Below are 25,478 nucleotides of genomic sequence, written 5' to 3'. Positions count from 1 at the left end.
AGCATTGTTTTTTATTATATGCACATATTTTTTCTTATGTAAAACATATATAATTTTGTATCCTTTTAACATTTTTTCACATTATTAGATCTTCTTAAAGATGATTTTTTATGACTGCATGATATTTGACTATGTGATCATAATTTTTAAAAACATTTTACTATAGATCTTTATGTTTCTAACTGTTGGCAACACAGCAACAAACATCCGTGAGAATTATTCTCTAATTGCAGCTCCAAAATATTTTTCAGAACAGGTTTTTGGAAACAGGATCACTGGTTCTTAGACTTTCTGTATTGTTAAGACTCTCGATAAATACTGCCAAGTAGATTTCAAGGAAGTTTGTACCAACATTTTCTTCCAACAGTAGACAATGAGAATACCCATTTTCTCAAATACTCACTGATCCACCTGCCTTATTTTAATTTACATTATTACTGGTGAAGTTGAACATTTTTCTATGTGTTTATACTGGTCATTTTTAAATTCTTTTTTTGTTTATTGCCTTTCTTGTCTTTGGCTATTTATCTATTCATATCTTCATCTTACTTGTTTGTAAAAAATCTCTAAGACTTTAATTTGTTATGTTTGATTTCTCTACAACTTAATTCAAACAACTCTTTTAATCCAGAATGGAATTAGTCATTCCTTTATAAGGTATAATTCTTATTGTTGGGATAGAACTTCTTATAGTGGTTCAGGTTTCAAGAGTTGAATTAAAACCTAAAAAAATTTCTGAAAATGAACAGAGTTACTGACTTTTTATTATCAGAAGCAAGCATTAGCAAAACAAAACAAAAACTATCACTTCCTATCATCATTTCTTGAACGAAAGGATATTTGGCAGTAAAAAACTATTAAGGCCATAACTTTAGAAAAAAAAAACACCTTTAAGTAAAGTGAATTAGGCTTTATAAGAATTTACTATATGGCCCTTCTGTTCCCAATTTTCATCATAAGCTGGTGAAAACTTGTCCCACATTGTGGCACCTGCCTGTAGACCAGCATTTGGGAACCACACATCATAAAAATATAACTGTCTTCTGCCCGGGCCCGGTGGCTCACGCCTGTAATCCCAGCACTTTGGGAGGCTGAGGCGGGTGGATCACGAGGTCAAGAAATTGAGACCATCTGGCCAACATGGTGAAACCCCATCTCTACGAAAAATACAAAAATTAGCTGGGCATCGTGGCGCATACCTGTAGTCCCAGATACTCCGGAGGCTGAGGCAGAAGAATCGCTTGAACCCGGGAGGCGGAGGTTGCAGTGAGCCAAGATCATGCCACTGCACTGCAGCCTGGCTATAGAGCAACATTCCGTCTCAAAAACAAAATAAAATAAAATATAACAAAAAAAAAACCTGTCTTCTTCCACCCCTTGAAAACAGGGGGGGAATCTTTATTTCTGTTATCTTCAGGATATAAAACAGATTCCAGGAACTCATTAAATAGTCATGAAACAGTATTTCAGTTTTGCAATAGCATTTTGTTTTAATATTTCTTTTGATTCAGTTTAAAAATCTCTCAAGTTACAGTACAGTACAGTACAACTTACAAAGATTAAAACTCAAAACACCTCTTAAATTTTCTTGGGATACTGGTTTATTCTCTAAATGTAGCTTAGCTATCTCTAGACATCAGGAACAACTTAACAACAGATTTCTCATTCAGAAAGATAAGATATTCAGTATTATTTCAATAAAAAATTAGAATTGTAATTGTTATCTAGATCGAGGTTGCAAATAGCCATTTATCTTTGTCTTTCCCTAGTCAACACTAATTATGGTGGAGCTATTTTCAGAGAAAACATCTCTATTTCCTTCTCCCAGATATTCTCTTTTCCTGATAGTGAATGACAGACATGCAGCTTATTACATTTCAATTTGCCTTATGTGGATATCTTGTTTAGATTTTTGAAAAATTCCATACAACTATATGATGTATTTATTTTCTATGACTTATGAATCCCAGTCCTTCCACTGCATAAAGAAAGCCTTAGTTTAAGTACACTGATACACAGGCAAGGCCAGGAATGATGAACACTGTAACAACGATACATTTATTTTCTTTTTTTTTTATTATACTTTCAGTTTTAGGGTACATGTGCGCAACGTGCAGGTTTGTTACATATGTATACATGTGCCATGTTGGTGTGCTGCACCCAGTAACTCATTTAACATTAGGTATATCTCCAAATGCTATCCCTCCCCCTTCCCCCCACCCCACAACAGGCCCCGGTGTGTGATGTTCCCCTTCCTGTGTCCATGTGTTTTCATTGTTCAATTCCCACTTGTGAGTGAGGACATGAGGTATTTGGTTTTTTGTCTTTGCGATAGTTTGCTGAGAATGATGGTTTCCAGCTTCATCCATGTCCCTACAAAGGACATGAACTCATCATTTTTTATGGCCACATAGTATTCCATGGTGTATATTTGCCACATTTTCTTAATCCAGTCTATGATTGTTGGACATTTGGGTTGGTTCCAAGTCTTTGCTATTGTGAATAGTGCTGCAATAAACATATGTGTGCATGTGTCTTTATAGCAGCATGATTTGTAATCCTTTGGGTATATACCCAGTAATGGGATGGCTGGGTCAAATGGTATTTCTAGTTCTAGATCCCTGAGGAATCACCACACTGACTTCCACAATGGTTGAACTAGTTTACAGTCCCACCAACAGTGTAAAAGTGTTCCTATTTCTCCATATCCTCTCCAGCACCTGTTGTTTCCTGACTTTTTAATGATCGCCATTCTAACTGGTGTGAGATGGTATCTCATTGTGGTTTTGATTTGCATTTCTCTGATGGCCAGTGATGATGAGCATTTTTTCCTGTGTCTTTTGGTTGCATAAATGTCTTCTTTTGAGAAGTGTCTGTTCATATCCTTTGCCCGCTTTTTGATGGGGTTTTTTTTTCTTGTAAATTTGTTTCTTAATCCTGAGTTCTAGTTTGATTGCACTGTGTTCTGAGAGACAGTTTGTTATAATTTCTGTTCTTTTACATTTGCTGAGGAGTGCTTTACTTCCAACTATGTGGTCAATTGTGGAATAAGTGCAGTGTGGTGCTGAGAAGAATGTATATTCTGTTGATTTGGGGTGGAGAGTTCTGTAGATGTCTATTAGGTCCGCTTGGTGCAGAGCTGAGTTCAATTCCTGGATATCCTTGTTAACTTTCTGTCTTGTTGATCTGTCTAATGTTGACAGTGGGGTGTTAAAGTCTCCCATTATTATTGTGTGGGAGTCTAAGTCTCTTTGTAGGTCACTAAGGACTTGCTTTATGAATCTGGGTGCTCCTGCATTGGGTGCATATATATTTAGGATAGTTAGCTCTTCTTGTTGAATTGATCCCTTTACCATTCTGTAATGGCCTTCTTTGTCTCTTTTGATCTTTGCTGGTTTAAAGTCTGTTTTATCAAAGACTAGGATTGCAACCCCTGCCTTTTTTTGTTTTCCATTTGCTTGGTAGATCTTCCTCCCTCCCTTTATTTTGAGCCTATGTGTGTCTCTGCACGTGAGATGGGTTTCCTGAATACAGCACACTGATGGGTCTTGATTCTTTATCCAATTTGCCAGTCTGTGTCTTTTAATTGGAGCATTTAGCCCATTTACATTTAAGTTTAATATTGTTATGTGTGAATTTGATCCTGTCATTATGATGTTAGCTGGTTATTTTGCTCGTTAGTTGATGCAGTTTCTTCCTAGCCTCGATGGTCTTTACAATTTTGTTATGTTTTTGCAGTGGCTGGTACCGGTTGTTCCTTTCCATGTTTAGTGCTTCCTTCAGGAGCTCTTGTAGGGCAGGCCTGGTGGTGACAGAATCTCTCAGCATTTACTTGTCTGTAAGGTATTTTATTTCTCCTTCACTTATGAAGCTTAGTTTGGCTGGATATGAAATTCTGGGTTGAAAATTCTTTTCTTTAAGAATGTTGAATATTGGTCCCCACTGTCCTCTTCTGGCTTGTAGAGTTTCTGCCGAGAGATCAGCTGTTAGTCTGATGGACTTTCCCTTTGTGGGTAACCCGACCTTTCTCTCTGGCTGCCCTTAACATTTTTTCCTTCATTTCAACTTTGGTGAATCTGACAATTATGTGTCTTGGAGTTGCTCTTCTTGAGGAGTATCTTTGTGGCGTTCTCTGTATTTCCTGAATTTGAATGTTGGCCTACCTTGCTAGATTGGGGAAGTTCTTCTGGATAATATCCTGCAGAGTGTTTTCCAACTTGGTTCCATTCTCCCTGTCACTTTCGGGTACACCAATCAGACGTAATTTGGTCTTTTCACATAGTCCCATATTTCTTGGAGGCTTTGTTCATTTCTTTTTATTCTTTTTTCTCTAAACTTCTCTTCTCGCTTCATTTCATTCATTTGATTTTCCATCACTGGTACCCTTTCTTCCAGTTGATCGAATTGGCTACTAAGCTTGTGTATTTGTCACGTAGCTCTTGTGCCTTGGTTTTCAGCTCCATCAGGTCCTTTAAGGACTTCTCTGCATTGGTTATTCTAGTTAGCCATTCGTCTAATTTTTTTTCAAGGTTTTTAACTTCTTTGCCATTGGTTCGAACTTCCTCCTTTAGCTCTGAGTAGTTTGATCGTCTGAAGCCTTCTCTCAACTCATCAAAGTCATTCTCCGTCCAGCTTTGTTCCATCGCTGGTGAGGAGCTGCGTTCCTTTGGACGAGAAGAGGCGCTCTGATTTTTAGAGTTCCCAGTTTTTCTGCTCTGTTTTTTCCCCATCTTTGTGGGTTTATCTACCTTTGGTCTTTGATGATGGTGACGTACAGATGGGGTTTTGGTGTGGATGTCCTTTCTGTTTGTTAGTTTTCCTTCTAACAGTCAGGACCCTCAGCTGCAGGTCTGTTGGAATTTGCTGGAGGTCCACTCCAGACCCTGTTTGCCTGGGTATCAGCAGTGGAGGCTGCATAACAGTGGATATTGGTGAACAGCAAATGTTGCTACCTGATTATTCCTCTGGAAGTTTTGTCTCAGAGGAGTACCCGGCCATGTGAGGTGTCAGTCTGCCCTTACTGGGGGGTGCCTCCCAGTTAGGCTCCTCGGGGGTCAGGGACCCACTTGAGGAGGCAGTCTGTCTGTTCTCAGATCTCCAGCTGCGTGCTGGGAGAACCACTACTCTCTTCAAAGCTGTCAGACAGGGACATTTACGTCTGCAGAGGATTCTGCTGCCTTTTGTTTGGCAATGCCCTGCCCCCAGAGGTGGAGTCTACAGAGGCAGGCAGGCCTCCTTGAGCTGTGGTGGGCTCCACGCAGTTCGAGCTTCTGGGCTGCTTTACCTACTGAAGCCTGGGCAATGGCGGGCACCCCTCCCCCAGCCTTGCTGCTGCCTTGCAGTTTGATCTCAGACTGCTTGGCTAGCAATGAGTGAGGCTCCATGGGCGTAGGACCCTCCGAGCTATGCGCGGGATATAATCTCCTGGTGTGCTGTTTGCCAAGACCATTGGAAAAGTGCAATATTAGGGTGGGAGTGACTCGATTTTCCAGGTGCCGTCTGTCACCCCTTTCTTTGACTAGGAAAGGGAATTCCCTGACCCCTTGCACTTCCTGGGTGAGGCAATGCCTCACCATGCTTCGGCTCACGCTCGGTGTGCTGCACCCACTGTTCTGCACCCACTTTCCGACACTCCCCAGTGAGATGAACCCAGTACCTCAGCTGAAAATGCAGAAATCACCCATCTTCTGCATCGCTCATGCTGGGAGCTGTAGACTGGAGGTATTCCTATGTGGCCATCTTGGCTCTGCCCCGATACATTTACTTTCTACAACTTAGTAGAACCAACTTACCTCATTTATATGAGAAGCATGCAAGAAGGGCATAGAAATTGTCCATTTTAGTACACACTTAAGGAAAATGACAGTAAAGATGAGTATCCCAAAGCAAATTTAAAAACTTAAAAGATAGGAATTATAAGTGAGTGATTCAATTAGATCATAACTTTTTACAATACTGGAATAAACATAATAGTACACATGCATATAAAACCAAGTATTAGAGAATATAGAGGCAGAGGCAACAGAAGTTTTCAAATGCTGTGAATCCACACATAAAAACAGAGCAAATAGATAAAACCAAATTTTCATGGACAATGTTTACAACAAAACTACATGACAAGGTTGCTCTATAGGCTCCAAAAGAAGTTGGTAGAGATAAACCACCATCAACACAAGACCTGCATGGTATTCATGTGGGAGAAGAAGGAAGTGTCAGGGCAGCATCTGATGGACCTGAAAACAGGAGAGCCCCAGAACAGTCAACAAATATTCACCGGAATGTGTGGAGACCAATTTACAGCAATTGAAATAGGGAGGAGTTTTGTTCTCTTCAATACCAGATGAGTTCATGGGATCCACAGTAAAAAGGTCTGAAGGGGCCTGGTACAGTGGCTCCTGTAATCCCAGCACTTTGGGAGGCTGAGGCAGGAGAACTGCCTGAGACCAGGAGTTTGAGACCAGCCTAGGCACCATAGTGAAACCCCATCTCTACAAAATTGTTTTTTTTTTTAATTAGCAGGGTGTGGTGGCATGCACCTGTAGTTCCAGCTACCCAGGAGGCTGAGGCAAGGGGATCACTTGAGCCCAGGAAGTTGAGGCTGCAGTGTACTCTATGATTATGCCATTGCATTCCAGCCTGGGTGACAGAGTGAGACCCTGTCTAAAAATGAAAAAAGAAAAAGAAAAAAGAAAGGTCTGAAGAAAGCAGTCCCTGGAGCAGTCGAGCCCCTGTGAATCTAAAAACTATTCCACTAGGACTCTCTTCAAGACAGAATCCTTCTCATAGAAGAAACTGTTGGGGCTAAACTCAAAATGAAACAGGATAAGGACACGAGAGGTGAATAAAAAAGAAGATCTAGGCTGGGCACAGCGGCTCATGCCTGTAATCCCAGCACTTTGGGAGGTCGAGGCGGGCAGATCACCTGAAGTCGGGAGTTCAAGACCAGCCTGACCAACACGGAGAAACCTCATCTCTGCTAAAAATACAAAGTTAGCTGGGTGTGGTGGTGTGCACCTGTAATCCCATCTAGTCGGGAGGCCAAGGCAGGAGAATTACTTGAATCCAGGAGGTGGATGTTGCGGTGAGCCGAGATTGCGCCACTGCACTTCAGCCTGGGCCACAAAAGTGAAATTCCGTCTCAAAAAAAAAAAAAAAAAGGAAGGTCTAGACTAAAGTGGAGGATTGGAATAGAGCCAAAAAAATCTCAGAGTAAGCATTACAAATTTTAAACAGTACATATAAACAACAGAAGAGGAAGATCTGTGAAGTTAGAAAAACTTTCCTGAACCTTACCTCATTTTAAAAGTTAAGAAAAACTAATTTCATTTACAAATGAGCAGAGAAAAGTACTGAGGTCAAATTCAAGACAAAGCTATGGTGGGAGTGTGGAGAGGGGGAAGACAGAGGTTAATATTACTGGTAGCAAAAAAGTACACCAGAAAAATATGCTCAAGAAACATATCATGACTATTAACCTACCGTTTTAAAACAAACTAAAAGATGTTAAGAATGATATGAGACATAAAATAACAATATAAATCTGAATTACAAAAACGAAAAAAGTGTTTTAAAACGTGGAGTGAAAGGACCCAGAAACAATGAAATGAAATAATAAAATAATTTAAGAAATAAACACTAAATTAGTCATATCCAAGAGTGAATAAAAAATAGATAACACTTTTAAGAGAAATACAAGATGAAAAAGTGAAAAAAATTTAAGATAAGAAATGAATGAAGAGACAAAAAGGATTCAAGAGAAAGTGACAAATACTGATGATAAAGAAGATTTCACATATGGATAATGGGAGTCCCTGAAGAAGAAGACAACAGCAAGGAAACAGAAAAATTGATTAAAAAATTCAAATTTAAAACATCTTTCCTGAAAGAAAAAAAGATTTTAAACTACATATTGGAAGATCATACTGTGAATCTGAAAAAAACAACCCAGAACAACCAACACCAAGACAAATGCTAGTAAACTTATTAGACTTTAAAGAAAACTAAAAAAGTTATTTGGCCATCTAGAAGGAAGAAAAGCTTGTGACTTATAAAGGGTAAAAAAATCATACATTCTCATCAGACTTTCTACAACAATACTTTGTGATAGAAGAAAATGAAGTAACATTTAAGATGCCCCAGAAAAATAAATTGTGAGCCAAAGATTTTATATCTTGCAAAACCACCTTTCAAGTATAAAGGACATAGCTAAACTGTTATTAACATTCAGTAACTGAAGGGATATTATTCCTATGATCTATAATAGGATATATTTCAGACAATCAAAATGTTTAGAAAGATACCAAAATAAAGACTGGTGATGAGAAGTAAATATACAATTACCAATGAATTAAAAGGGAGAGTGTACAGAGCATAAGGCTACATGCGGTGACAATATAGTTATAGTATAATTATTTTAATTATTTTTTAAAATGGGGAAGAATGGGAAGAACATACACAAAATTTTTAGAAAATCTTTCCAGTAAATGATATTGATAATAGTATAAGTACTGTCATTATGACACTGTTGCGTGTACAACAGTAGATAAAACAATGAGTAATTATTAAATATTCTATCATCTTGTATCCTTAAGAATCAGGATTCTTGGTATGAGAAAAGTATATATATGTAAGTAATAGAGAAGAAGTTGAAAGCTTTGTGGTCTTGAACCTGAATTGGAAGTATAAAAAATTCATAAGGTTATTTATACACACGCATGCGTGCACGCATGCAACACACATGCACACATATATTCATATCCCTTCCAACAAGTTCAGTCCAGTTTCCAGTCAGTCATAATTTCTAATACCTAGAAATTATGACCAACTGGATTGTGTTTCTGAAGGACCACTTCTCTCTAAAAGAAACTAAGGTTTCTTGAAGACATGGCTGATACTGTGTCTGCAACAGAAAATATATAAGATGTGTATGGAACATCTTTTTATACCAATGTCAAATAAGCTATCAAAGGCCATTAGGGTCAAGGCAAAAGAAGTTAACTTTGAAAAGCTCCCACTGGTTAAAGATGAGACAATCTGAGCTTCAACCATGATAAAAATTACAATGGATTGAATATAATCAAATATTGTTAAGTCCCTGCATTCATACTGTTATTAAAACAAGAGTTGCTCACTTTGGGAAATGATAGGGAACAAATTCATTATCTTGAAAACTGGTGGATAAGCATCTATTCTGTACTTTCTATGTGAATGCTACCACTGGGAAATAAAATAATAGATAATGAGAAATGTCTCTTTGTAAAAGTATTCCAAATAATAAATGAAATAATGATAGAATAAGAATATCACCATTTTGTAATCCCCAACTGCATTAAGTAATAATGGCTTTTGGCATCACACAAGTGAGACAATAAGATATCACGTGTCTCCTACAGTCTTGTCAAACATTAGTTTTGCCAGAAAAATGGAACCTGGGTCTGATCCTATCTGTGGATCCACTTGCCAATTTGCAGGAAATATAGAAGATGGGAGGCATATAGCGATGTATCTTAAGTAAGCAAATCCCAGGCTGCTGGAAACTCTTTGGGTCGAATGGCTCAAGTATTTCTAGAGATAAACTATGGGAAATGGAAGGGAAATCTATCAATTAAAAGAGATTTAAAAGACAGAGTACAAAGAAGTTAAGGTTGATCTCTGGGTGGTGAGAATGTTTTGTTGTTGGCCTACATTTTCTGTTTTTATACAATGCATATAAACTTCCTCTGTAATGACAACAAGTTGTTACAAATAATGTAACTGGTTGCCAAAAGCAACAAAAGAAACGCAGTTACATTTTTTAAAAATGGCAAAACCAAACTATTGTGCTAGGGATGTACATTTGGTTGACAGAACTATCAGGAAAAAATCCAGGAAGACGATTACTGCAGAGGTTAGGATAATGATTTCTTGTGGAGAGAGGAAGGCATGGGGCACATAGAAGAGGCTTTTGCCCTAGGTGGCAAAATTTTCTTTCTTGATCTGGGTGCTGATTACAAGCATTTTCACCTTACAACAATGTACTAAGCCATATATATAGCATGTAATTCTCTGTATCTGTGTTTTATTTTATAATAAAAAGATGAAAAAATACACATAGACATCCATGTAGAGTTTCTCCTCTCTCTGGCCACCTCTAATATCCTTAGAGTCATTTTTAGAGACTTGACATTTGAAAGGTCTATAGCTAGCCACCTTTACTCATCCTAAAATTTGAAAATACCACTTTGGCATAAAACTTACCCAGTTCCCTTATCTGTAAAATGACTAAGGTTATAGTCATTTAACAAGTAGACTGTGAGGCTATGATAATGAAAATAATTTTTGTATTAAAGTTGAACACCACCACCACATGGCAAAATAAATGCTGGGCAGCTGGCTAAGCTCACTCTCTATCTAAGTGTCTTGAATGAGTTTACTCTTTAAATCTGTGCCTAAGCAAAATTATAATGACTGTCGTAATTTTGGAAGTGCTGGCAAATAAATAGAAAAAAATAAAAATACCAACAATCTACATACAGTCCTGAGACCTCTTCTAAAATACCTTTTTCCCTCAGTTGCATACTGAATCCAGACTCTCAGGGATTCTACTTACTTAAAAGGGCTTGGGCCTACCAAAAGAAAAAGGAAGTGAGTTTAACACTAAATCTAAACCTAATGCCAATAAGTAAAAGAAACAGCTCCCATTACAATGGTAGAAGAAATAATGTAAAGGCTTTGATATAGTAGCAAGGAGCTGGAATAAAGAATGAATAAGAGCTGAAAATGATGATATATTCTGAAGAGATAAGTGAGTGACCTGGAACCCATGTAAACAGGAGATGCTGGGTTGCAGTTCTGGAACCACATATGTAATTATTTTTGTTATATGATGTATAACAAAATAAAAGCCAGACAATATCCATGCCTATGTGTACATGTGCATTCCTGTATTGTCCTATGATATACAAGAAGGCAAACACAAATTCAACAAGATCTATGCATGTGATATTCAGGTCAAAGGACAAGACAGAAAGAAAGAAATAATAACCTGGATGAGCAGATGGGAGGAACTGACCATCTTAAGATGTGAAGTGGTAAACTACAAAATGAAAAAGAAATAGGGATTCATGAGAAAGAAAGAAAGAAGAGTGGGAAAACAAGAGTAGAAAAAAATGGAAATTACACCAAAGTACATTTTAAAAGCAAATTTGAGAAGTTATTTTAATATATTCATTTTAAAGTAGATAGAAATGAGATATGACCACTGGTACGGATTTGGTCTGCTAACAAAAGTTCAACCTAAGACCTGTTTTAGAGAAAGTAACATAATACAGTATATGTATTTAGGCTGATTTAGGCTGTATAATCTTGTAAATGGTAGATATGAAGCCGTAATTACAAAAATAATTTATCCATTAATTATTTTATTTTACATTAATGTTTTCAAAAGGACAGCTCTTTTTTCAAATGCTTATTCCAATTTATCATTTGTCCTCTGACTTCATGATCTTTTTTCTGCACCAAAGTTTTTTCTTTTTATTTTATAGCTGTTCCTTTGAGAGCAGGCCTAACTCCTGGGCAGTGTGCCCAGAGTCAGCACAGTTTTTAAAAAATATTAAATTGGCAGAATAAATTTGAATATGTTCAAGGTGTACAATGTAATGATTTGATATAATTGTGTAATGATTACCACAATCAAATTAACACATCCATCACCACACTTGCTGTGCATCAGATACCTAGAACTTGTCTAATTTATAACTGAAAGTTTATACCCTTTGACCAATATCTCCCCATTTCCCCTAGCCCTTAGGCCCTGATAACCACCATTCTACTTCTGCTTCTATGAGTTTCACTTTTTTAGATTCAAAGGAACAATTCTTACCAAGTGGTATACATCATCTAAACAGGTAAATTCATTAAAGCTAATGTTTAGTTTTCGAAGTCCTGTTAACTTGGAGAGATCTCTCAATTTACTCAAGCTGTTTCCATGTAGATTCAGACTCTGAAGCAAAATAAAATATACATTAAAAAATAATACAGGTTACATTCTACATCAAACTGAAGTGTGGATATGTAAAATGTTTAGAACAATTATTTGAGCCAATATACTACAAAATAAGAAAGCAGTTATTTTAAATAGCATTAAGAAACAGTCAATAAGAAAAAAAATCTAATCTATGATGTTAAAAGATAAATAATTTGTAATAGTATCACTAGACCTGGTTCTTGATTAATATGATTTCTTACTTGGTCTAAGTTTGTCAGCAATTGGCGTGAAATTCTTTTTAGAAAATAAATACATGTGTTAAGATACTTATTAGGGTAGATCTGTTTCTAAGGCTAACCAGTGAACAATGGAGACCCTAAAGATTTGGGGTATCAGGTAGGGTACCTCACACAAGAGAGATGGCAGGAAAATGTATGAGGGCACCGAACCAAAGAAGAAAAGCTGAGGGTGCTGAAGTAGGAGGACAGAAGGTCAAAGGAGGAGGTGGGAGATTGTTTAAGACAACACCTACATCAGAATTTGGCCCAGACTTTTCTTGTCCATTTCATTCTAGGCTATATAAAAACAAATATTATTACACATTTATACTAAAGGAGAGATCCTGATGCCTATATGTTTTTCTGTCTTTATACCATTATGAGTGGTATCAAGTAAAGACTGTATTTATGTATAGCTTGCAAAATAAACAAGGGCACAAGACAATGTATTAATGCAACTGACTACAGTATCAAGTATCTATCTCCCAGCTATCTTCATTCACCACCACCATCTTATGCCTTATATTGTGGACATAACAAAATTCCTAGAAGGGAGAAACAATTAAATTTCTAATAGCTGTCAAAATTAGCTAAAATTGTTAAGGGCCAATTTATGCAGACTAGTGATTTTACAAGTCACATATGGGTATCATCCATGATATATTCTACAGAAACCTCACATTTAACATGTCCACAACTGATTTCATCTTCCCTATGTGTCTGATAAAGAGCTTCACTATCTAACATACTGTTGATCACCTGCTTTCCCTCTTTTCTTTATACATTTGATTGTAGAACTGTTTCTCAAACAGGCCACACCGTTATATCACCACTATCAGTGCCTTAGCAGACTTAGGCAGTGGTAGTGGTGATGTAACGGTGCAGCTGGTTTTCTGGTTATCCAGTGAAGAAATGAATGGATTTTTCCTTTGGATAGTGCAATAGTTTTCTACTGAATTTCCATACCACCAGTCTGATTTCAGTTAATTCCATGCACAAGCTGTCAAAGTTAGGGTCTTTAAAGGGAGTCTGTTCCTTAAACAGAAGAATATAAACTTTTAAATTTTGGCTTCCAAAATCCATCCTAATTTGGCTACAACCTCATACTCTTCCAGCCCTGGCTTCCTGTGTCTTTCTTGAATTCCAACCTACATCTTTACCCTCCACCATTGTAACACTATATTCTAGGCATACTAAATTTTTCAGTGTTCCCTGAAGACATCTGGATCTTTCAAAAGCATGTTTCTACAGTAAGAATATTTTCTCTCTCTGGAAGATGTAAACAACTAAATTTCTCATGTCCTTCAAAATCCACTCAAAGCTCACCTCTTTCTATAAATCTCTCCCAGTAACTCTGAGCTTCCTACATGTGTTCACATATATATTTGCTCCACTAAATTGATGTTTTTGACTCAGGTAAACTAATTTCTTACTAAAATAGTAAATCTAGATATTATAGTGCAGAAATAATAATTTCTCAGTACTGTCAGCCAGAAGATTGCTCTTATTATGCTGCACATTTACAGACACAGGACAGGGCCTCTGTTGCATAACTCTAGAGGCATCCTACTCCCCTTATCTTGTATTGAGTTCTATTCAGTTATATAATGAATAACACCCAAAGGGCACACTAAAGAGAATATAATGTGAATTTTGCCTTCTAGAGTTGTGCAATATTGCAATAGTAGAGTACAGAGAGTCTGGTTGGAAGGCTGGGGTAATAGTCTAGGTCAGAAACTATAGTAGTTTGGATAGAGTGGTAGCAGCAGATCTGAAATGAACACATCTAAAAGTCAGACATAGAAGTAGGCCTAATATCTCAGTAGAATTGTCTCGGCATAAAGTAAGTCACTTTAATAAGTAACCTGATTTCCATTGATTAATTTTGTAAAGATCCCATATTCTATGTTGATTAATTCTAGAAGCTTATTTAAAACTTATCTGCCTTTATCTTATTGAAGAGAGCTGATTGGTTATTCAGGAATAAAATCCCTTGCTAATTGGAAGGCCACCTCAAATGGCTATTGAGCACTTGAAATGTGACTAGTCTTAATGTGCTCAGAGTGTAAAATATACTTCAGAATTAAGAGTTAGGATGAAATTACCTTATTAATGAATATTCATACTGGTTCCATGTTAACATGATAATAGTTTAGATATGCAGGTGCTATAGTTTCAATGTGTCCCCCAAAAGTTCATGTGTTGGAAACTTACTCCCTCTGCCTTCATGAATGGATTAATGTCACTTTCAGAGGAGTGGGTCTATTATCTTGGGAGTAAATTTGTTATAAAATCAGCTCTCTCTGGCTCTCTTGCTCTTGCCTTCTTGCCATGTGATGCCCACTGCCATTTTATGACACTGCAAGGCCCTCACCAGATGCAGGCACCATGCTCTTGGATGTCCCAGCCTCCAGAACGATGAGCTAAATAAACGTATTCTCTTCATAAATTACTCAGTCTGTGGTATTTTGTTATAGAAATAGAAAACAAACTAAGATATTTCAGTTAAATAAAATGTATTATTAAAATTAATTTTACTTTTTAAAAAAGCTTTTAAAAACATAGCTACTAGAGAAGTAAAAATTACATATGTGGTTCACATTATATTACTACTAGAGAGCACTGATTTAATCCAAGTAGAAAAAGAGAAATGGACGCTTTAGGTAGCATTGTACCTGGCATCATCAGACAGGCAGTTTAGTATCTTTTGACTTCATATGCTAGATTCTGATTCCAAATTCAAGATTCCTGTCTCAAAGCTGTATTTCTCACAATACTCACCACAATATGACTGTAAACGCTAGTCTTTGCAAGGGAAAGTATTGTTTTATCATCCAAACTAATCAGTTTTGGTCGGGCCTTGATTCTGGGCTCCATTTTTATAACTTCATCATCAAATTTCAAATCCTTGGAAAATACTGATACTTCTGGGTTTTTTTTGCTTTCTTCTAGAATAACATTGTTGAATACAGAAAATAAAGAGGGTGCCTTGACCTAAAAAATGTATTAAAAACATTGCAAAATCAGTTGCTGTATTTATCATTTTGAAAAACAAACAAGCTATGTAGAAAAGATGAGTTGACATTTTTAGTTATACAGTCATATCTGTGATTATCAGAATCACATTAGGACATCTATGAGAGCAGATTAAAATTGTAGGCTATGCATGGTGTATCTATTCCCACCCACTGAACATTTCTTAAAACTGGCAGAAGATAATTTTAAAATATTTCATAACAGTGAAGAGGGTACCTACAAAAGCCTAGAAATTGTGACACATGAATCAGAAAGGACTGAACTGACAGGTAAATAGGATCAGAAATGTAACCTCTGGCTAAAAAATATGCAGGAGATAAACACTTTTAAAATCAGATCCAGAGAAACTTGAACAAAGAGCAATTAGTTACCTTAATTATCAGGTAATTCAGTAATTACGGTAAGAATTGTGGATGAATGAGCAAGAGCCACATGAACAAACAGAACTGGCTCTAGAAAAAACCAGAATACTTCATCAGAGAATTTTTAAAAATCTAGGACAATAAAGTACCTATGATAAAAGAATAAGCTGCTATGGAAAAGAAAAGGACACACACTTCAAAGCTAAAATAAAAACAATTATTAAAATAAAAATTTAGTAAATACCCTGAGAACCAAGTGGATATGGTAGCAGATCAAATTAGCAATGTGGAAGCTAAGATTGAGAAAATATTTCAAAACAAATAATTTAAAAATAGAGTATAAAATAGAAGAGAAAAAATTAAAAGGCATGAAGGATCAATTTGGAACACCCGATATTTAACTAATCAGGGTATTCCAGAGGGCCTAATAGAGAATGGAAGAGAAGAAATAACCAAGAAACTAAGAGAAGCAAACTTTCCAGAAGAGAAGAAAGAATTGAATCATCACATCAAAAGAGCTCATAAAGCGGCAAGCAGGAGGATGATGGAACCAAGGTCTTTGCTGACATCATTGAATGGTCACAACTGCCAGGTATTGCCCATCTCTTGAGTTGTTATGTGAGTTAAATGAACTTCTATCTGTTTACTGTTTGTCTGGGTTTCTGTATCTTTTGCTAAAGGCATACTTGACTAATATAATCCCATTCATTATAGCAATATAAAATATAAATGTCCAGAACTAAACAAGAAATGTTGGAGACCTATATAAAGAAAACTGTAAGAGAGGACCTGAGTAAATGGAGTAGACAGATTATCATGTTCCTAGAACAAGAAGTCCAATACAGCAAAGTAGTCAGTTCACACCAAATTAAGTTTTAAATTCAATATAATTTCAATCATATTTTAATAGGATATTAAAATAGAGCTTGACAAGCTATTCTAAATTTTATTTGGAAAAAGATACTGTTTAAGAATAGTCAAAAAAAGTTTAAAAAGATGAGTGGGGACAGAGGAAGGGGATTTGCCCTATCACACATCAAGATATATGAAGTTTGTAATAACCAAAACAAATATGATAGTGATCCAAAATTAGATGAAAGAGTTCAATGGAACAGAATAGATTCATATAGACAGATTCCTCATATATGCAAATAATTTTAACAATAAAGGTTGTATTTTGAAATAGAGCAGAAAAGATAATGCCTAAGTATTTATTCATTTAAAAAAATTGACCACCTTTCTACCTCACACACCATAAAACAATTTCTAGATGGATTAAAAAAGCTAAAGGCTTTAAAACAAGTTATATAAGTATTGTAAGAAAATAAAGAATATTTATTACAGGCTTTTTGACATAAGACATAAAATTCAGAATCCATACAGGATAAGATTGAGAGAGAGAGCTGACCTCTTAAAAATTAACTTGTGAATTACAAATTAAAATGATGAGTTTTTCTTTTTTTTAATTTTATTATTATTATACTTTAAGTATTAGGGTACATGTGCACAATGTGCAGGTTAGTTACATATGTATACATGTGCCATGCTGGTGTGCTGCACCCATTAACTCGTCATTTAGCATTAGGTATATCTCCTAATGCTATCCCTTCCCCCTCCCCCCACCCCACAACAGTCCCCAGAGTGTGATGTTCCCCTGCCTGTGTCCATGTGTTCTCATTGTTCAATTCCCACCTATGAGTGAGAACATGCGGTGTTTGGTTTTTTGTCCTTGCGATAGTTTACTGAGAATGATGATTTCCAATTTCATCCATGTCCCTACAAAGGACATGAACAAAATGATGAGTTTTTCTTTTCTTTCTTTATTTTTTTTTGAGACGGAGTCTCGCTCTGTCGCCCAGGCTGGAATGCCGTGGCGCGATCTCTACTCACTACAAGCTCTGCCTCCCGGGTTCACGCCATTCTCCTGCCTCAGCCTCCCGAGTAGCTGGGACTACAGGCGCCCGCCACCACGGCCGGCTAATGTTTTGTATTTTTAGTAGAGACGGGGATGGTTAGCCAGGATGGTCTCGATCCCCTGACCTCATGATCCGCCTGCCTTGGCCTCCCAAAGTGCTGGGATTACAGGCGTGAGCCACCGCACCTGGCCGAGTTTTTCTTACAATTAAAATTAAAAGGCAAGTGACAGAAAATATTTGCAACATATATAAGATAAATGATTTTTAATTTTTTAAATTTTTAAAGTTTTTTGTAGAGACAAGATCTCACTATGTTGCCCAGGCTGGTCTCAAACTCCTGGGCTCAAGCAATCCTCTCACCTTGAACTCCTGGGATTGCAGGCATGAGCCACCATGCCTGGGCTAAGATAAAGTACTAAAATCCAGAATGTATGTAAGGATTTTCCCAATTAATACAAGAAAGACAGAGTTTAATAGAAAATGGTCAAAAGATATAACATTTGGTTCGTACAACTCTAAATAATTTTAAGCATATGAAAGAATAAAATATAATGTTTTTTGCCCACCATAGTGGCCAAAAGAGACTGATAACATCTTGTGTTGGCAAATGTAATGAGACATGCACTGTCACACACACTTGGAAATTTGTAAAACAGTCAAGTCTTTGTGGAGAGAATTTGGCAAAATCTAACAAAATTTAAGATGCATATATCCTTTGACTCCCAAGTTTTCTACAAATCTATCCTGTAGAGAAACTTCCATATTTGTATAAAGATACATCTACAATGATGTTCACTGAAATATTATTTTAAATAATAAATATGGACACAGTATATCAACAGGAGAATAGTTGAATAAATTAGTATTACTGAATAATATGCAGCCACCAAAATAATGAAATACCCATCTATATGTACTAAAGTGAAAATATGTTCAAAACATATTGTTAAAGGCAAAAAAATCACAGAATACTTAGACCTTGTTTCTACTATGTCAAATGGTATCTGTTATTATATATGTAAATGTGTAGAAAAAGGATTGAAAGCAAACCCATAAAACTGTTAACAGTGGATTCCCTGGTGAAAGAGAATGGCAGTGAGGTTAAAGTGAGGGCACATTTTCATGTTTATTCTTCAATGTAGTTTCAATGTATTTTGAATCTTCAAAGTAGACTGAATCTTTTCCAGTGGGAGTACAGCCATATATTAATCATTTGATTATTTGCCTAAAAAATATTAGTTGACTTGTTTTGAAAATTAAGTTATTCACAAAATAACAATTATACACACATGCACATAATATAAACTTGACATAGCATTATTCGACTTCAAATTACTACTTTGTTCCCATTTAAGGAATTAGAATTAGTCTTTAAGAATATGTAACAATTCATACCATTGTAATATACTCAAATTCAACAACATATTCCGGCAAAACAAGGTCATGATCAAAGACAAACCACTTGCACTGCCGAACACTGCAATCACAGTTTCTTTGTCCCATGACAGAATCTAGAGTAAAAGCAAAAACAAGCAAAGCAAACACATTTTCTCAAATTGAAACATACTTTTTCATTCTTACATAGTTTAATAATTAACAAACTCAATAAGTTGCAACAGTTATATTATTGAAGATTTTTTCTTTCATTTTTAAATAAATAACAAACTCAGTAAGTTGCGACAGTTATATTATTGAGGATTTTTTCTTTCATCCTTTCCACTCCAGCTTTTTAATTATATAAATACTTTTTAATTATATAAATCCTTTCACTACATAGACTAGTAGTGCTTAATTTTATTCATATCCTTTTCCTTTTCATACTTTTTCACTTTTCTATTCAATGTGTGGCCATGCAATTTTGACAAACGTATTTCTCTAAAACTCTTGTTAAAAGTCGGGTGCTTTTTTAATTCTTTGAAAATGAACACACACACACACACACACACACACACACACACAAATACATAATTACATTAAAATTTGCCAGATTATCTACCCACACCCATATATAAATGTCTTTGATGTAGGGAATATAAAAATTATTAGTGGCTAGTAACAGATTTTTGTAGAAAATTCTACAAACTTTGTTAAGTAGAAATAAAATTGTGAGTATCCGTATTAAACACAAACATTTTTCATTCAGAGAGATAAAACCACATTAATCTTTATGATAGACATACTTAGTAAATATTTCCGAGGAATGAACACTGAATTAACCATTGGATAGTTGGATTGACTGATGGATTCTTTTTCATGGGCCTGAACACTCTGGCCAAGGAAAACTTTTGTAATGAGGAGGATGCCTAAATATAAAAAAACAGAAGTAATTCTTAAGAATAATTAACTTTAATAATTTTCCAACATAACCTTCTTTATTGGCCCAAGACTAAACTGTATGTTCTGTAAAGGCAGAGATGCTGGCTCTCTTGTTTGCTACTGTACAGCGCATAACACATTGCTCGATCCAAAATAGATGCTCAACAAATATTTGTTGAATACATGAAATAATTATAAAAGAGGTGTTGTGTGATTATATCAAGCAAAGCTTTACAGAAGAGGGAGAAGGAAAGAACACATTAATTCGGCAAGGTTTTTTAAGTAGTTAAAAATAAATTTTGGTTGTTGTTAACTGGGTAAAAGTTCAGTAGCACCTAGCACATAGCTTAGATGGTAGGAGGCACTCAATATATGTCTACTTAATGAATAAACATTTCATTTTCCTTTAGATTCTTAAGGATCCTTGGGATTCATTAAATCCTAAAGTCAAGAAACTAAAAACGTAATTTATAATCATAATACATAAAATGTTCAAAGGAATTTTGTTTGTTTTTACTATGTACAAGATATAAAATGTAAATTAGGAGAACCTAATTGTTTTGGAAACATTCCAGAAGGATCTAGCAGAACATCGTGAGGCATTTCTTAATATGAAAATGGAGAAGAATGATAAAGAATAAAAGGTTTTTTCAAGTAAGGAGTTAAGGAGTTCTTTCTAGACTCAATAACCTGCTTAATTTTATAATTATTATTAACTGGATAAAAAACTGCAAAACACGTATCGTTTAGTTCAGAATGATTCACCTTAGCAATCTGGAACCTAGAATGTCATTCTTATAGAATTAAGTTAACCCAATTTCTGACTACCCAATCTTTAGTACAGTGGTCTCCAACCTTTTTGGCACCAGGGACTGGTTTCATGGAAGACAATTTTCCCCCAGACTGGGGATGGGAGGATGGTTTCAGGATGATTCAGGTGTATTATATTTATTGTGTACTTTATTTCTATTATTATTACATTGTAACATATAATGAAATAATTATATAACTCACCATAATGTAGAATCAGTGGGAGCCCTGAGCGTGTTTTCCTGCATCTAGATGGTCCCATCTGGGGGTGTTGGGAGACAAGTGACATATCATCAGGCATTAGGTTCTCATAAGGAGCGCACAACCCAGATCCCTCGCATGTGCGGTTCACAATAGGGTTCGCGCCCCTATAAGAATCAAATGCTGCCACTGATGTGACAGGAGGCGGAGCTCATGCGGTAATGCAAATGATGGGGAGTGGCTGCAAATACAGATGAAGCTTTGCTCACTTGCCCCCTGCTCACCTCCTGCTGTGTGGCCAGGTTCCTAACAGGCCACAAACTGCAACCAGTCTGTGGGCAGGGGTTGGAGACCCTGCTTTAGTAGGTCGGATGGTTGAGACTAAAGAATAGGTGTTCCTTACTCCCTGACCTGATCTATTCTCCATATTATACATTCTTTGGTACCACGCATTAATACTTCATGTTTATAGCTCCTATATGATAACTATGATTTTATATTTATGTGATTATTAATATTTATAAGCACCATAAAGATGAAACTGTCTAGTTTGCATAGACTGTATCCCTTCCAGTGCCTAACACACAATAAGCATTCAATAAATACTTGTGGAACTAAAGAATGTACAGTGGAAGAGGGTGAGGCAAGAAGGACATGATGAGCTATAGTCTTTTTCCCCAGTCCATGGGTACCAGGGAGTTTCTCCCAGAAGTGTCCTATAAATTGGTTTGTGTACTTATATTTCTACATATTCAAGCTGCAAATGAAGTACTGGTAACTATGAATGAATTATCAAAAAATTATCTTATATAAGACAAGTTATAAAGCAATCCATACACTTTACAATTTGTCTTTAGCTGATTTTAACTTAAACCCAGGTTTTCTTATCATCTTAAATTATGATGATTCAGGACAAATAAGGCCTATCTTCCGGAGTACTTTATATAATTATTATATAATTATCACATATATGGGCCAAATTCTTTTCTATTTCCTGTGAATTTGGTGTTCGTGTGTGTAGTGTATATATATATACATATATATATATACATATATATATGTATATATATATACATATATATATATACATATATATATGTATATATATATACACTACACACACACACACACACATAGTTTAGTTCAGCATATATATATATATATATGCTGTGACACATATATATATATGTGACACAACATAATAAACAAAAGCAGACTGTGAAAAATGTCCCTGAAAAGTTGAATTAAATATCTGAGTAACAAATGTTCCTCTTAATGCTGACATAATAATCACTCAGTAAGTATCTGTTAAAAGTGTGGCTAAATTAATGATGAGAAAGTCATGTATTACTACACTGGTAAATATGAAATAAAATGGTTTGAAGAACATCTCCTTGGTTGATAAAACCAAGTATCAGAAACGATATAAAAATAATTAATGAATTTGAAGACAGAACTTAAAAGTTCAGAAACATGGCATATTTGTATTTACCATGTCTGAAGAGCTCATGCTTAAGAGAGATTTTCTTCTCATCTTTGTGCTTTTGCTGTAAAAATTCAATTCTGGGACACTCACTTATACTTAGACTGTTAGAAACAATGATGGCTTCTTTTTTGAGAGGCAGCTGCAAAGAAAAAACAAAGTCTGAGTATTTTTATAAAATTGACAATACTTCAACTTCAATACAGAGGGTTTATTATTTTATTTTTATGTGTCTGGGCAAAGAAATCTGCAGGCCGGACTCACTGAAAAGAAGTAGATAACCTTCAGGTGCAACTTCATTTGGCAAAACCATTTATTTATCTTAAATTCATATGCAAATAGGTTAATAAAAGGTGATGCAGAACAAAAATTGTTCCTGGAAAAGCAGCCACAGTCAAGACTGATAATACTATGTGGAGCAGGAGCAATAGCTTTCAATGAGTACTCCACTAGTAATCTTGCTAACTCCAAAAAGAAAATCTAATGGAATGAGGTATTATATCAGTGAAGATTCTTGTTTATACTATAATTTTTGGGGCTAATAATCTACATTGTTTTCTAGAAACAAAACACTTTTCATGTGTTAACCCATGGAAATCCTAGTTTGTATTGTGACTAACTTTATTTCTTGAAAGTATTCTATCGGTAATGTTCACATTACTTGCTTGCCGTGAAAACAGCTCTAAAAACCAAAAATCTCTATTTTTAGATTTTAGTAGTAAGAAAACTAGAGCTAAAAGAGATTATATGATCTGTCCAAGGACAGAACTAGTAATTGGCAAAGTCACGATTTGAACTCAGGTCTATTTGTCCTTGTCACAATCTCAAAGGTTTGAAATTACTATTTGTTTAACATTAATAGCCAAATTATTTAGAATTATGTCTTATCTGTAAATGCCAAATTACTTATTTTTTTAATTGAAATCTGCAATCCAAAGACATTCTGAAAAAATAAATACAGTCAGCCCTCCACATCCACAGTTCCCACATCTGAGGATTCAACCAACCATGGATTGAAAATATTCAGGAAAAAAATGCAATACAAAATAATACAAATAGCAAACAATGCAGTATAACAACTATTTAAATAGTATTTACATTGCATTGTAAGTAGTCTAGAGGAGTTTTAGAGTACACAAGAGGATATGTGTAGGTTATATGCAAATACTGCACCATTTTATATAATGGACTTGTGTATTCACAGATTTTGGTATCTGCATGAGTCCTGGAATCAATCCCCCAGAGATACTGATGGGTGAGTATACTCTAATAGGGCTTATCCGACCACAAATTCCACACCCCAGTAAGTAACCTTTTTAGACTTTCAATGAACATCACTAAATATCCATTCGATATAACCCACGTGCAGGGCATTGTAAGGCTACAGTGTAGTCTTGGTCCTCAGTTAAGAAAGGCAAATATAGAAACTATATATGATAATTTAAAAAATACAAGGCACCACAAGATGTGTCAAATAAGATATACTTTTTAACTGAAGGGATTAGGAAGGAGTTTATAGAGGCAATGAAATCATGGGTAGGCTTTGAAGATTGGACATAATTCAAATAATCAGAAATTTAAAAGGAAATTATATTTTAAGAGGAGGAAAACATGAAGGTATACAAATAGGTGTGATTGCTATCCATCCATCTGACATCAATTCCTTCACTAGATTTCTACTAAGAATCTACTCTATAAATACAGATCCTGCTCTTAAGAACTAGTAGAAAAATGCACACAAATGGTTACATTTCAATAAAACAAATGTGTTATAATAAAATTTTTCAGTTGTTCACCACTTAACTAACACTTAACCAATTTGCAGGATTAACCAGTATTTTCTGTTGTCTATATAACTCATACTATGATGGCAGTTCAGGGATAAAATGGAACTTTTAAAAAATGGATGTACTTCTACTGTATCCAGTTGTGTTGTATGCTTACCAAGAGTCAGTTAATTTTGTTCCCAAGCTTGTTTATGCCAGTTGTAGTTGTTATGAAATTATGCATATTATTTAAAGCTATAAAATAGAAGAGGAGTTGTTTCTTTGAACAATTTTGGAAAATTTAGTAAAATTCAATAGAAGATAATCATTAAGAACTTCTGGCAAGGCATGTGTAGATAAAGCAAATGCAGAAGTTTGGGGTGGTGGGGGGAATCAGACAAACTAGAAGGATTTTTACATTCGAGTTACTTTGCAAGAATCTTTAAGTGCATGCTCAACTTTAAGGAAAACAAAACTAATATGAAACATGGTTACGGCTGATACAAGAAAGACTACTTAGAGTTCCAATTTCATAGTCAAAGGCTTTGGACCTGCACAGAAGATTGACACATGAATGTAAATTTGTATTTTAAGTTATATTAAAGGATTTGTTAAGTAAATCATCTGTTTACAGTTCTCCATTTTAACTGACTTTTTGGATTAACCTGCAAACTAGGTAAAAGGGCACCTACTGTTTGAAAATTCAGGAAAAGCCACACAAAAGAAGAAACCCTTGAGTTGGGACTTAAAGGATCAGTAAGTCTGTTACAGGGTAAAAATAGAAAACAGCATTTCATCAAAGGGTGGTATGAGCTGTACTTAGGAGAATCACAAGTAGACTACATACTTCATTAGGGTCACTTGGCATATTTGGTAATGGGGAGTTAGGTTGAAGATAGATTGTGAGGGTTGTCAGAGGCCTTCAATGCCAGGCAGAGGAATGTGGACATCATCATTACATGTAATGCGAAGCTACTGAAAGTTTCTCATCATGGACACAGTGCAATGTGCACTATGAAAATAATGTTTTAAGAAAGATTAATTTGTACTGTGAAAAATGGAAGAACTAGAGGGCATGACCAAGGGCAGTGTTGCCTATTGGGAAACAATGGCAGAGATTAGAAGGAAAGTTCTAAGGGTTGAAAGTGGTCGCAGGCAATGGGATTAGGGAGAGAAATGAAGAGCCACTGGAAAATGATTAGATGTGGGGATAATGGAAAAGGGAGGGTTGAACATAATTCCAAGGCTTTGAGCATGTTCAGTGAAGGAAATGACAGTATTGTTATGGAAATCAGGAAAGAAGACCAGGAGAGAGCTGCTTATGAGCAAAAGATTAAAGCCTGGT

General features: G+C 35.7%; 1 protein-coding gene and 1 long non-coding RNA gene across 20 annotated transcripts in view, besides 1 other annotated feature; one reads left to right on the top strand and one right to left on the bottom strand.

Moving 5' to 3' along the window:
* LRRC9 (leucine rich repeat containing 9) overlaps window positions 1-25,478 on the bottom strand; it is a 147,105-nt gene that overhangs the window by 69,733 nt on the left and 51,894 nt on the right. For all 19 annotated transcript variants that reach the window (NR_075071.3, XR_002957549.2, XR_002957550.2 and 16 more), the window contains 5 exons: window positions 22,377-22,509; window positions 19,738-19,860; window positions 18,953-19,068; window positions 15,025-15,237; window positions 11,861-11,980 (listed from right to left, as the gene is read on the bottom strand). Coding sequence is in view for 16 of the 19 variants with exons in the window: in NM_001355272.3 (NP_001342201.1) it covers window positions 11,861-11,980; window positions 15,025-15,237; window positions 18,953-19,068; window positions 19,738-19,860; window positions 22,377-22,509 (705 nt within the window). In the remaining 3 variants the exon portion in view is untranslated. The remainder of the gene's footprint in view (window positions 1-11,860; window positions 11,981-15,024; window positions 15,238-18,952; window positions 19,069-19,737; window positions 19,861-22,376; window positions 22,510-25,478) is intronic.
* Window positions 1-25,478, top strand: part of PCNX4-DT (PCNX4 divergent transcript) — a 122,654-nt gene that overhangs the window by 94,662 nt on the left and 2,514 nt on the right. The window lies entirely within an intron of this gene.
* Window positions 4,496-4,727: a silencer, noted in NCBI's record as "fragment chr14:60459076-60459307 (GRCh37/hg19 assembly coordinates)". NCBI's record gives its function as "represses an EF-1alpha promoter that drives an FKBP-Casp9 reporter gene in an ReSE screen in K562 erythroleukemia cells {active_cell/tissue: K562}" and the evidence as "EXISTENCE:reporter gene assay evidence [ECO:0000049][PMID:32094911]".

The sequence above is a fragment of the Homo sapiens genome, chromosome 14, assembly GCF_000001405.40.
Source record: "Homo sapiens chromosome 14, GRCh38.p14 Primary Assembly".
Taxonomy (NCBI): domain Eukaryota; kingdom Metazoa; phylum Chordata; class Mammalia; order Primates; family Hominidae; genus Homo; species Homo sapiens.
Note: the sequence above shows the minus strand (reverse complement) of the source record. Positions and strands in the feature narration are given on the sequence as shown.